The following is a 12,123-nucleotide window of genomic DNA, read 5'->3' on the forward strand; positions in this document are numbered from 1 at the left end:
TTCCTCCCAGGGACCTCAACCTCCCTGTTGCTCATGTTGTACTCATTGAGACCTCTCCTTAGATCCTGTTTATGCAGCCTGGTATCCTGTTGCTAAGCCCACCGCAGGTCAATTGCTCCCATTGGTTCAGTGCTTACTAAGGGCCAAGCGCTGCCTGGCCATATTCTCCACATTAAACATATTTAACCCTCACGTAACCCACAAGGCAGCTCTGACTCTCCCTCCTGTTACATGGGAGGAAACCCAAGCTCAGACAGGTCAAATGACTCAACCGAGGTCACAGAGCGGAAAGCGGGGGACCCAGAGTCCACCCGGGCTTCAGCTCCAGGCACGAGCTCTGAGCACTGCTCAACCACAGACTACCAGGGCATGTCACAAGTGGGGAGGGGGCAACAGGCAGGCTGGCACCCTTCGAGCCTCAGCACATGAGGCAATTGGTAAACTAACGACCAAGGAAGAGACAGGAACATAATAAAGAGCAGAATACAAATATAAGAATGAAAAACATGGCAATCTGGGTCCTTTTCATATAAGGACTAAGCGTTGTATATACCTTAATAGGCTCCATATACATCACTGCCACAGGACTGTAGGACACCGCAGAAAAGGAGTCTGTTCAGTTAGGGCTGGCCGATGTAGCGAATATTATTATAGGACTCCCAGTTAAATTCAAATTTCATAAACACTGATTTTTTTTAGTGCAAGTATGAAATATTTGGTACATGCTTTTACTAAGAATTTATTTGTTGTTTATCTAAAATTCCAATTTAGGCCGGGCACAGTGGCTCACGCCTGTAATCCTAGCACTTTGGGAGGCCAAGGCAGGTGGATCACTTGAAGTCAGGAGTTTGAGACCAGCCTGGCCAACATGGTGAAACCCCATCTCTACTAAAAATATAAAAATTAGCTGGGCATGGTGGCATGTGCCTGTGATCCCAGCTACTCGGGAGGCTGAGGTAAGAGAGTCGCTTGAATCTGGGAGGCGGTGGTTGCAGTGAGCCGAGATCGCATCACTGCACTCCAGCCTGGGTGACAGAGTGAGACTCTGTCTCAAAAAAAAAAAAAAAAAAAAATTTAACTGCGTACCTTGTGTGCTAAAGGGTCATTTAGGCATGGCACATTTTATTTTAGCCATTTTGGAAGGATGTCTCTGTAAAATGCATGCCATGCTCTCTTGCTTACTGAAATCCAATGCCCACTTTACGCCTGGCTTAAGGGACCAAGAGAGCATGCCATGCATTTTAGAGAGACATCCTCCCAAAACAGATAAAATAAAATGGGTCATGCCTAAATGACCCTTTATAACAGATATAACCAATCAAAAGTATAAATTAGAGATGCCACAAACAAAGTCTTAAACAAAGTAGAAGTTTATTTCTCTTTCACATAAAAATATTCCAGAGGTCAGAGCTCCCTGACTGCTATGGTGGCTCTGCAGCAACATCAGAGACCCTGACTCCTCCTACCTTTCTCTTCTACCATCCTTAACCTTAACAGTTGCCTCATGAGCCACTGCAATTGCTGGAGCTCCAACTGTCACATCAGCATCCCAAGCAAAAAGCAAGCGGTAGGGGGAAGAAGACTATAAAAAAAAGCACGTGTCAGCCATCTGTCCCCTTTTTGGTAAATTCTATCTTACAACTTCTGCTTATATTTACTGTCCAGAACTTAGCCACATGGCCACTCTCAGCTGCAACAGAAGCTTGGAAATGTAGGATTATAACTATGTACGTTGCCACATTGAATAAAATCAAGGGTCTGTTACTAAAGAAGAACAGGAGAATGGATACTGACCAGGCAAGTAGCCTCAATAAAATGCAATGTCCTCTTACCTTATAGATTAGAAAACCTGGCCCCCTTTTTTTTGAGACAGGGTCTCACTCTGTTGCATAGGCTAGAGTGCAGCGGCCTGATCACAGCTCACTGCAACCTCCACCTCCCCCACTCTAGTGCTCCTCCCCTCTCAGCCCCGGGAGTAGTTGGGACTACAGGCGTGCACCACCACATTCGGCTAATTTTTGCATTTTTGGTAAAGAAGGGGTTTCGCCATGTTGCCGAGGCTGGTCTTGAACTCCTGGGCTCAAGCCTACCTTAGCCTCCCAGAGGTTACAAGTGTCAGCTACCACACTGGCCTAAAGCCTGGCCCTTTCTAATGGAGGATGTTAGGGACCCACTCTTTAAAAAATATAGGCAATTTTAATGTGCTTGCTATTTTGTTTTATTGACTTCACTCATTATAGTTCTAAGCCACCAAGAGCACAATCTAATATAACAGAAGAGTAATAAAATAAAGCAGCAGATTGATTTTTTTTTATATCTAAAATCTAATTAAGAAGAATGTTTTTAAGGAGAAGAGTAAAGTCCTTGAAGAATAAATTCCTGGTCTCTGAGGATCTCCCCACTTCATCCTTAGGTTGTAATTCAAGTCGGGCTTTGTCTAGATCCTACCATGGGCCAGGCACCATGCTAGGGCGTGAGGATGAAGTGATGGGTAAGGGGTACCTGTCATGCTTGCTTGCCAAGGTGATGAATATGTGCTGAGATGCTCCGAGAAGGTGCCCGGGTCCTTCGTAAATTAGTTTAGGCGAGGAAAGAGACCACACCTGTATTGCAGTGCCTGGAAGCAGGGCACCCCTGAGATGGCGAATATTGCTGACAAAACTCATCCAGCGGAGGAGAATTCTGGTTTGTTGATTCACCATGGGGGCCATAAAGACCTTTATTCGCTGCTGGAGTCTTAACAGTGACTCGTATTTTTGAGCAATTTTCTGGGCCTCCTGAAGTTGCTTAGTGACTCACCTGGTTCCCTTGAGTTCTGCTGAGAATATTTCACCTTTTAGATTTAGTATTAGGCCAAACAAACTGCGAAAATATGAAAAAAAGAAATCCTTGCTTTGCAACTCAATCCATGGGTCATGAAAAGCGTGTGTGATGGGGCGTTAACAGGGGTCTTGGGCTTCATTTCAGTTGAGGGCCCAGACTTTAGACACCAACTATTCCCAGTAGTACCAGAGTGAGGTGTGGTCAACCGGGCAAATGTGCAAAGGAGGGGTCAAAGGACAGGTTTGCATCCATTAGCTCAACAACCACTTTAAAGAAAAACGATCCAGATGGCTGGGCGTGGTAACTCAAGCCTGTAATCCCAGCACTTTGGGAGGCCAAGGCAAGAGGATTGCTTGAGCTCAGGAGTTCAAGACCAGCCTGGGCAACATGACAAAACCCTGTCTCTACAAGAAAATACAAAAATTAGCCTGGGTGTGGTGGCATGTGCCTGTGCTCCCCAGCTACTTAAGAGGCTGAGAGGGGAGGATTGATTGAGCCTGGGAGGTCGAGGCTACAATGGGCCATGATTGCACCACTGCACTCCAGCCTGGGCAACAGAGTGAGATCCTGTCTAAAAAAAGAAGGCCAGGCATGGTGGCTCACGCCGGTAATCCCAACACTTTGGGAGGCCGAGATGGGTGGATCACGAGGTCAGGGGCTCGAGACCAGCCCAGCCAACATGGTGAAATGCCGTCTCTACTAAAAATACAAAAACTAGCTAGGCATGGTGGTGCATACCTGTAATCCCAGCTACTCAGGAGACTGAGGCAAGAGAATCGCTTTAACCTGGCAGGTGGAGGTTGTGGTGAGCCAAGATCGTGCCATTGCACTCCAGCCTGGGTGACAGCAAGACTCTGTTTCAAAAAAAAAGAAAAGAAAGATAGAGAAAAAGGATCCAGAAAGTCTGTGATTAGGGAAAGTGGTTTAACAGAAAGTGGTTAGTGTCTTGCAAGTATGCCTCCCCCAACCCTGGAGGAGCAGAGGGGTGGGGAGGGTTGCTTCCCCCTTAGGCTTAGCTGATAGCTGACTAAGGGTCCCCATGGAGAGAAGGCACATGTCCCTGGGCCCAGAACAAAATGGCCAGCGTGCACCTCCCACACGAAAGACCTGAAGGTGGAGAGGAGGCGCCTGGCTAACGCAGCTGGGTGGTCACATTCCTTCCCCAACAGCCCGTCCAAGGTAGGAGATTTTGTGGACCAGGTGCGGGGCTGGGAGAGCCTGAGATCCTCCCACCCAGACCACCTGGAGCGAAAGGAGAATTTAGAGGAAGAGTTCTGTACTCTAACACCTCATCTCCAGGAGCTGGAGGTGGAATTACAAATAAAAGACCAGCCCCAGGAGATGGTTTTCACTGGAATCAAAAGAACAGCAGTTGTGAGATCCTTGTGTTAAAGGAATCTTGAAAGACCCTGAGGGCTGGTTGCGGTGGCTCACGCCTGTAATCCCAATACTTCAGGAGGCCGAAGCGGGCAGATCACTTGAGGCCAGGAGTTCCAGACCAGCCTGGCCAAGGTGGTGAAACCCTGTCTCTACTAAAAATACAAAAATTAGCCAGGCGTGGTAGTGCGTGCCTGTAATCCCAGCTACTCCGGAGTCTGAGGCAGGAGAATTGCTTGAACCTGGGAGGCCGAGGTTGCAGTGATCACGCCATTGCACTCCAGCCTGGGCGACAGGGTGAAACTCTATCTCAATTAAAAAAATAGAAAGAGGCCGGGCACGGTGGACACGCCTGTAATCCTAGCACTTTGGGAGGCCGAGGCGGGTGGATCACCTGAGGTCAGGAGTTTGAGACCAGCCTGGTCAACATGGCAAAACTCCGTCTCTACTAAAAATAGAAAAATTAGCTGGGCGTGGTGGTGGTGGTGCGCACCGGTAATCCCAGCTACTAGTGGGGGCTAAGGCAGGAGAATTGCTTGAACCCGGGAGGTGGAGGTTGCAGTGAGCGGAGATCGCACCACTGCACTCCAGCCTGGGCGACAGAGCAAGACTTCATCTCAAACAAACAAACAAACAAAAAAACCCCAAAAGAGCTCCCATGCAACAAGTTTAAATTCCTATCAAACCCAGGGGATAGCGAAGCCAGCCTGTGACCTACCCGTCCAGTTACACTGCGCCTGTTCTCTCCCTGTGTCTTCTTCCTTCTCCACTGTAAGCCTAGGAAACCGCCAGAAAGTGCAGCTAGCCAGCAAAGGGATGCCCCACAGGGAAAACAGTATCCCACGCCCAGCCGCCTCCCCACCAGGAGCTGGGGGTGGGGAGAAGCTGTCATTTGGGGGGGTTGACACTTACATGGCACTGCACATGTTATTTTATTTTATTTATGTATTTATTTGAGATGGAGTCTTGCTCTGTCACCCAGGTTGGGGTACAATGGTGTGATCTCGGCTCATTGCAACCTCCACCTCTGGGTTCAAGCGATTCTCATGCCTCAGCCTCCCAAGTAGCTGGGATCACAGGTGCGTGCTACCACGCCTGGCTAATTTTTGTATTTTTAGTAGACACAGGGTTTCACCATGTTTGCCAGGCTGGTCTCGAATTCCTGACCTCAGGTGATCCGCTCACCTTGGCCTCCCAAACTGCTGGGATTACAGGCGTGAGCCACCGTGCCTGGCCTGGGACTGCACATTGTAGATCCTGATTGGAGAGAGGGGCCAGCAGAGTCAAGGGCCTGCCTTAGATCTCATGCAAGGCATGAATAAGAGCATTTGAACAGGTTTGAACCAGGCAGTGGGGGGAAGATTAAGTGTTTTCTACACCCAATGAGTCCCACTTGTTCAATGTACCAGTTACACAAAAAAGCTTTAAAAATATGCCAGGGTTAATCTCCCAATTTCAGGGAAGCACAATTAGCACATCCATTAATTAGGGCTCCATTTACACTTCCTGTCTCACTTCTAAATACCTGTGTGTGTGGAGCCAGTTCTAATTGTAGCACTCATTAATGTTCTATTTGTGATGTGGGTTTCAGGTACCTGGGAACCTCACACTAACATTACCCCGTGTCCTGGAACTTAGTACAGATGCATCCCTTTGGGGCCTCATCTGTGGGGTGCTTAATTCTAGAAGAGTTAGGAGAACATCACTGGCATGCTACCCAATTGCATGGGTTCTGGGAACAGACCTCGGCACACATTTGAATTTTTCATATGCCTTTTATTTTTATTTTATTTATTATTATTATTTTTTTGAGACAGAGTCTCTCTCTGTCGCCCAGGCTGGAGCGCAATGGCGCCATCTGGGCTGACTGCAACCTCCACCTCCCAGGTTCAAGTGATTCTCCTGCCTCAGACTTCTGAGTGCCACCACACCTGACTAATTTCTGTATTTTTGGCAGAGATGGGATTTCACCACGTTGGCCAGGCTGGTCTCAAACTCCTGACCTCAGGTGATCCACCTGCCTCGGCCTCCCAAAGTGCTGGGATTACAGGCGTGAGCTACTGCACCTGGCCGTATGCCTTTTAAGTGTTTTGTTTTGTTTTGTTTTTGAGACAGGGTCTTGCTCTGTGCAGTGGCACAATCTCAGCTCACTGTAGCCTCAACTTCCTGGGCTCAATGATCCTCTCACCTTAGCCTCTTGAGTAGCTGGGACTATAGGCATGCGCCACCACACCTGGCTAATTTTTGTATTTTTTGTAGGGTTTCACCATGTTGCCCAGGCTGGTCTCGAACTCCTGGGCTCAAGCGATCCACCTGCCTCAGCCTCCCAAAGTGCTGGGATTATAGGTGTGAGCCACAGACGGGCACGGCTTAAATGTTCTTAACCTTCTCCTATACTGGACTTGTGATGAAGGCCAAGTGTCTGACTTAAGCTGACACGTAATTACCCTTTACAATAAATTGAAGATGGGACAGGCGTTGTTGAGCCGTTGAGAGGGATACAGAAATGGAGACGAGACCTGGGCCCTTGAAGAGGCTCCTGTTTTCACCATGTGGACTTGGCTGCCGTCCCAGCTCTGATAGGTGTCAGCTACAGTGATTAAAACCTCCGTGTGTCTAACCCTTCCCATACAAATGCAGAAGGATGGCCGGCTGGTGGCTGGGCTCCTCCTAATCCCAGGACGAGGGAGAGCCAGACAGGATCCTGGGTTAAACGACACTGCACCAGCCAAGTGGCACGTAGCTTCTCATTTATGGGATGTGGCCCCAACTGTGACTCGTCTTTCCTTTTTTTTTTTTTTTTTGAGACGGAGTCTCACTCTGTCACCCAGGCTGGAGTTCAGTGGCACGATCTCGGCTCACTGCAAGCCCCGCCTCCCGGGTTCACGCCATTCTCTTGCCTCGGCCTCCCGAGTAGCTGGGACTACAGGCACCCGCCACCACGCCCGGCTAATTTTTTGTATTTTTAGTAGAGACGGGGTTTCACCATGTTAGCCAGAATGGTCTCGATCTCCTGACCTCGTGATCCGCCCGCCTCGGCCTCCCAAACTGTTGGGATTACAGGCATGAGCCACTGTGCCCAGCCAACATCTGGCTAATTTTCATATTTTGGGGAGAGACGTGGTTTCACCATGTTGCCCAGGCTGGTCTCCCAACTCCTGAGCTCAAAGGATCCACCCACCTCAACCTCCCAAAGTGCTGGGATTGCAGGTGTAAGCCACCACTCCCGGCCAGTGGTGGTGTTTTTACAATGGTAAATGACCATCACCACCATCCATCTCCAGAACTTTTCATGTTCCAAAACAGAAATTTTGTCCCCATTAAACACTAACTCCCATTTCCTGTCCTCTAGCCTCCTGGAAGCCACCTTTCTGTCTGTCTCTATGAATTTGTCCATTTTAAGTATCTCACATAAGTGGAATCAAACAATATTTGTCTTTTTGTGACTGGCTTCTTTCACTTAACATCACGTTTTCGAGTTTCATCCATGTTGTAACATGTGTCAGAATTTCGTTCCTTTTCATGGCTGAGTAATATTCCATTGTATGGATAGACCATATTTTGTTTCTCCTCGCCCATTTACAGACATTTGGGCTGTTCTTTTGTAACTATTGCTGCTATGAACATTAATGTACAAGTATTGAGTCCATGCTTTCAATTCTTCCCAGGGTTGGAATTGCCGGCTCACACAGCAATTCTATATTTAACTTTTTTTTTTTTTTTTTTAGATGGAGTCTTGCTCTATCGCCCAGGCTGGAGTGCAGTGGCATGATCTCCGACTCCTGGGTTCAAGCAATTCTCCTGCCTCAGCCTCCCGAGTAGCTGGGATTACAGGCGCACGCCACCACGCTCAGCTAGTCAGCTAGTTTTTGTGTTTTTAGTAGAGATGGGGTTTCACCATGTTAGCCAGGCTGGTCTCAAACTCTTGACCTCAGGTGATTTACCTGCCTTCGCCTCCCAAAGTGCTGGGATTACAGGCGTGAGCCACCAAGCCCGGCCTATATTTAACTTTTAAAGGAACTGCTAAACTGTTTCCACAGCAGTTGTACTGCTTTACTATCCCATCTGCAGTGCGGGAGGTTTCCATTTTCTCTACATCCTTGCCAACACTTGTTATTTTCTTTTTTGTTGTTGTTTATCATAGCCATCCTAGGGGTATGAAATGGTGTCTCCTAGTGGTTTTGATTTGCATTTCCCTAGTGACTAAAGATACTAAGCACCTTTTCATGTGCTTATTGTCCATTTGTATATCTTCTTCGGAAAAGTCTACTCAAGTCTTTTGCCAGTTTTTGAATTGGGTTGTTTGGATTTTTTGCTCTTCAGGTGTAGGACTTCTTTATATATTCTGAATATTAATTATTTATGAGATGCATGACTTTCAAACATTTTCTCCCGGTCTGCAGGTTGTCTTTTCACTTTCTTGATAGTGTCTTTTGACGCATAACCAAATGTGACTTTCTGCATATGTAAAAATAATCACTGATCTGACAAAGATCGGCTAGGTGACAACTATGCGATATTAATCCATTCACCCATTGAACCCACAAACATGTAGAAGAAGAGCCTGGTGCTGGGTGCTGGGGAGGGCTCTATGAATAAGATACAGTAGCCTGGCCTGGTGTGGTGGCTCACATCTGTAATCCCAACACTATGGGAGGTTGAGGTGGGTGAACTGCTTGAGTCTAGGAGTTCAGGACCAGCCTGGGCAACATAGCAAGAACCCCGTCTCTAAAAAAAAAAAAAAAAAAAAAAAAAAAAAGATAGTAGCTCCCAGACATCTTGCCTGCAAAGTGTTTATAGTCTAGTTGACAAGACACTCCCCACAAAAAAGAAAGGCTGAAAAACAGTAACAATGATGTTTGTAGGTGCCATATGATCATTTTGTGTGTGTGAATTTCAGTTGACGGGTTGGAATGCTCCAATGTGCAAGGAGGCTGATCAGAGACAGCCCCCAAGGTCTTCCTCACCTGCCCTAAACCGCACAACCAAATGTCTCACCAGCAATCAACAGCTCCATCCACACAGTAGGTGCTGTGCGACCTCTTAATTAGCAAGAATTCAAGAGCATTACGTTTAGGTGTTGTAATATCCCCAGTTCATTTAGTCTCTCACCGGGTCAGTGTTATGTTCCAGGCAGGGAGAGCTTTTGTGGCTTTGCAATAGACTTAATAAAAACATCACCAGTTCTGCCTTTTGTGGAGGCTGTGCCATCAAAACAAATCACAAAAACATTTTTTATTGAGCCCCTACTTTGTGTTTTATATTGGTGCTCTGTTTTCTTATTCTTGATTTTTAAAAACATTAATAGGCTGGGTGCAGTGGTGCATGCCTGTAATCCCAGCACTTTGGGAAGCCAAGGTGGGAGGATCACTTGAGGCCATAAGTTCAAGTCCAGCCTGGGCAACATGGTAAGACCCTGTCTAAACCAAAAAAATTTGTTTAATTAGCTGGGTATGGTGGCGCATGCCTTTACTCCCAGCTACTAAAGAGGCTGAGGTGGGAGGATCACTTGAGCCCAGGAGGTCAAGGCTGCAGTGAGTTGTGATCATGCCACTGCACTCCAGCCTGGGTAACAGAGCAAGGCCCTGTATCAAAAAAAAAAAAAAAAAAAAAAATGGTAACAGTTATTTACTGTTACATAAAATTGAACTTAATAAAATGAGATCTAACAAAACAGGCCTGGGCATGCTGTAATCCCAGCACTTTGGGAGGCTGAGGCGGGTGGATTATCTGAGGTCAGGAGTTCGAGACCAGCCTGGCCAACATGGTGAAACCTTGTCTCTACTAAAAATACAAAAATTAGCCGGGCCTGGTGGCACATGCCTGTAATCCCAGCTACTGGTGAGGCTGAGGCACGAGAATCACTTGAACCTGGGAAGCAGAGGTTACAGTGAGCTGAGACTGTGCCACTGCCCTCCAGCCTGGGCAACAGAGCAAGACTCTGTCTCAAAAAAAAAAAAAAAAAGATCTAACAAAACAAAAAAATGTTAGAAGGCAATAATTTACAGGGTCAAAAGAGTCTATATTTTTTAAAGGCTTGTCTTAAATTCCTGTGAAGCGATCCTCTAATGCAAATAAGATCTGTTTCTTGAAGCATTCGATTCCTGGGCTATAGTAACAGAGACCTTCATCATGGCAGCATCCTGGGCTTTGGATAAGGGAATGCTAACCAGAAATCACGGTTGCTGAAATGATAATTTCAGTACATGGGGGAAATAGCATTTCTAAATGGTGAATATGAATTTTTGCACTCTGCATTACTTTTTAACAACATATCTGTTATTTAAGGCAAGGTACACACATGCTTCACGGAGCTTAACGCCGCTGCCTCACCTGGCCTGCTTGCTCCACTTGAAGCTTGGCTCATCTGTGAGAGGTGAAGCTCCCTGGCCATAGCCATGTCTCCTGGCTCCCTGAGACATGCTTCAAGAATTGGGGGGAGCCAAAAAGACACAAAATAAATAACAACAATGAAAAATAAACAATAAAGAAAGGGAGGACTCAACTGCTTGAGCCAAAAGCCCAGACAGCATCTTTTTCTTTTTCTTTTTTTTCTTTTTTTTGGAAACAGTCTTGCTCTGTTGCCCAGGTTGGAGTGCAGTGGCACCATCTCAGCTCAGGTTTAAGCAATTCTCCTGCCTCAGCCTCCCCAGTAGCTGGGATTACAGGTGTATACCACCATGCCTGGCTCATTTTTTTTTCTTTGAGACATGGTCTCACTCTGTCACCCAGGCTGGAGGCCTGGTGGCACAATCTCAGCTCACTGCAACCTCTGCCTCCTAGGTTCGAAAGATTCTCATGCCTTAGCCTCCAAAGTAGCTGGGATTACAGGTGTGTGCCACCACGCCTAGTTAATTTTTATATTTTTAGTGGAGACAGGGTTTCACTATGTTGACCAGGATGGTCTCGATCCCTTGACCTGGTGATCTGTCCACCTTGGCCTCCCAAAGTGCTGGGATTACAGGCATGAGCCACCACACCTGGCCTAATTTTTGTATTTTTAGTAGAGACAGGGTTTCACCAGCTTGGCCAGGCTGGTCTTGAACTCCCGACCTCAAGTGATCTGCCCGCCTCAACCTCCCAAAGTGCTGGGAATACAGGTGTGACCCACCACATCCAGCCAAGGCATCATCTTTGATTATACCACTTCCCTGGTCACTTACATCTAATCCATCAGCAAATCCCATCCATTTCCTCTCCCTAACCTCTCTCCATAGAACACAGACGTCCTCTGTGTGTTAACCTTGTGTTTCTGATGCTTTGACCTTTGGGGCCTTGCTGACCCTAAGGGACTGCCCCTCCCAGGGCTGGCCAGTTTCTAGATATAGTAAAGGCCTCGCCTGGGAGCCTACCTTTCATGCCAACCCACTCAGAGCCCGCATCCCATCACCTCCTCAACCAGGGTCTCCCTGGACGGCCCCCATCCACCTGCCCTGGTCAACCCAGGCCAGGCCAGGGACCAGATGACTGGGGACAGCCCTCTGCCCAGAGCCCGCCGGAATCATCCACACTATCCAATCCTAGGCCAGCCTGCCCTGCCTCACCCACTCTTTCCACAGAAACCACAATCAGGGCTCTGCCACATTTGCCCCTTGCTTTCTCTACCCCCGTGACCCATGCTGGTGCTTTTCCGCGTGGACTCCCTAGGTGTGGCCTTCTTCTTCTTCTTCTTCTTTGTCTTTGTCTTCTTCTTCGTCATCTTCTTCATCTTCTTCTTCTTCATCTTTTTCTTCTACTTCTTCTTTGTCTTTTTCTTCTTCCTTCTTCTTCGTCTTTTTCTTCTTCCTTCTTCTTCTTCTTCTTCTTTTTCTTCTTCGTCGTCCTTTTCTTCTTCTTCCTTCTTCTTCTTCTTTTCTTCTTCTTCTTCGTCTTTTTCTTCTACTTCTTCTTCTTCGTCCTTTTCTTCTTCTTCTTCTTTTCATC

General features: G+C 47.2%; 1 annotated feature.

The window, feature by feature from the left end:
* Nucleotides 4,510–5,037: an enhancer, noted in NCBI's record as "H3K4me1 hESC enhancer chr1:9275966-9276493 (GRCh37/hg19 assembly coordinates)". NCBI's record gives its function as "activates a minimal SCP1, AML or CMV promoter by ChIP-STARR-seq in naive H9 embryonic stem cells {active_cell/tissue: H9 hESC(naive)}" and the evidence as "EXISTENCE:reporter gene assay evidence [ECO:0000049][PMID:30033119]".

The sequence above is a fragment of the Homo sapiens genome, chromosome 1, assembly GCF_000001405.40.
Source record: "Homo sapiens chromosome 1, GRCh38.p14 Primary Assembly".
Lineage (NCBI taxonomy): Eukaryota > Metazoa > Chordata > Mammalia > Primates > Hominidae > Homo > Homo sapiens.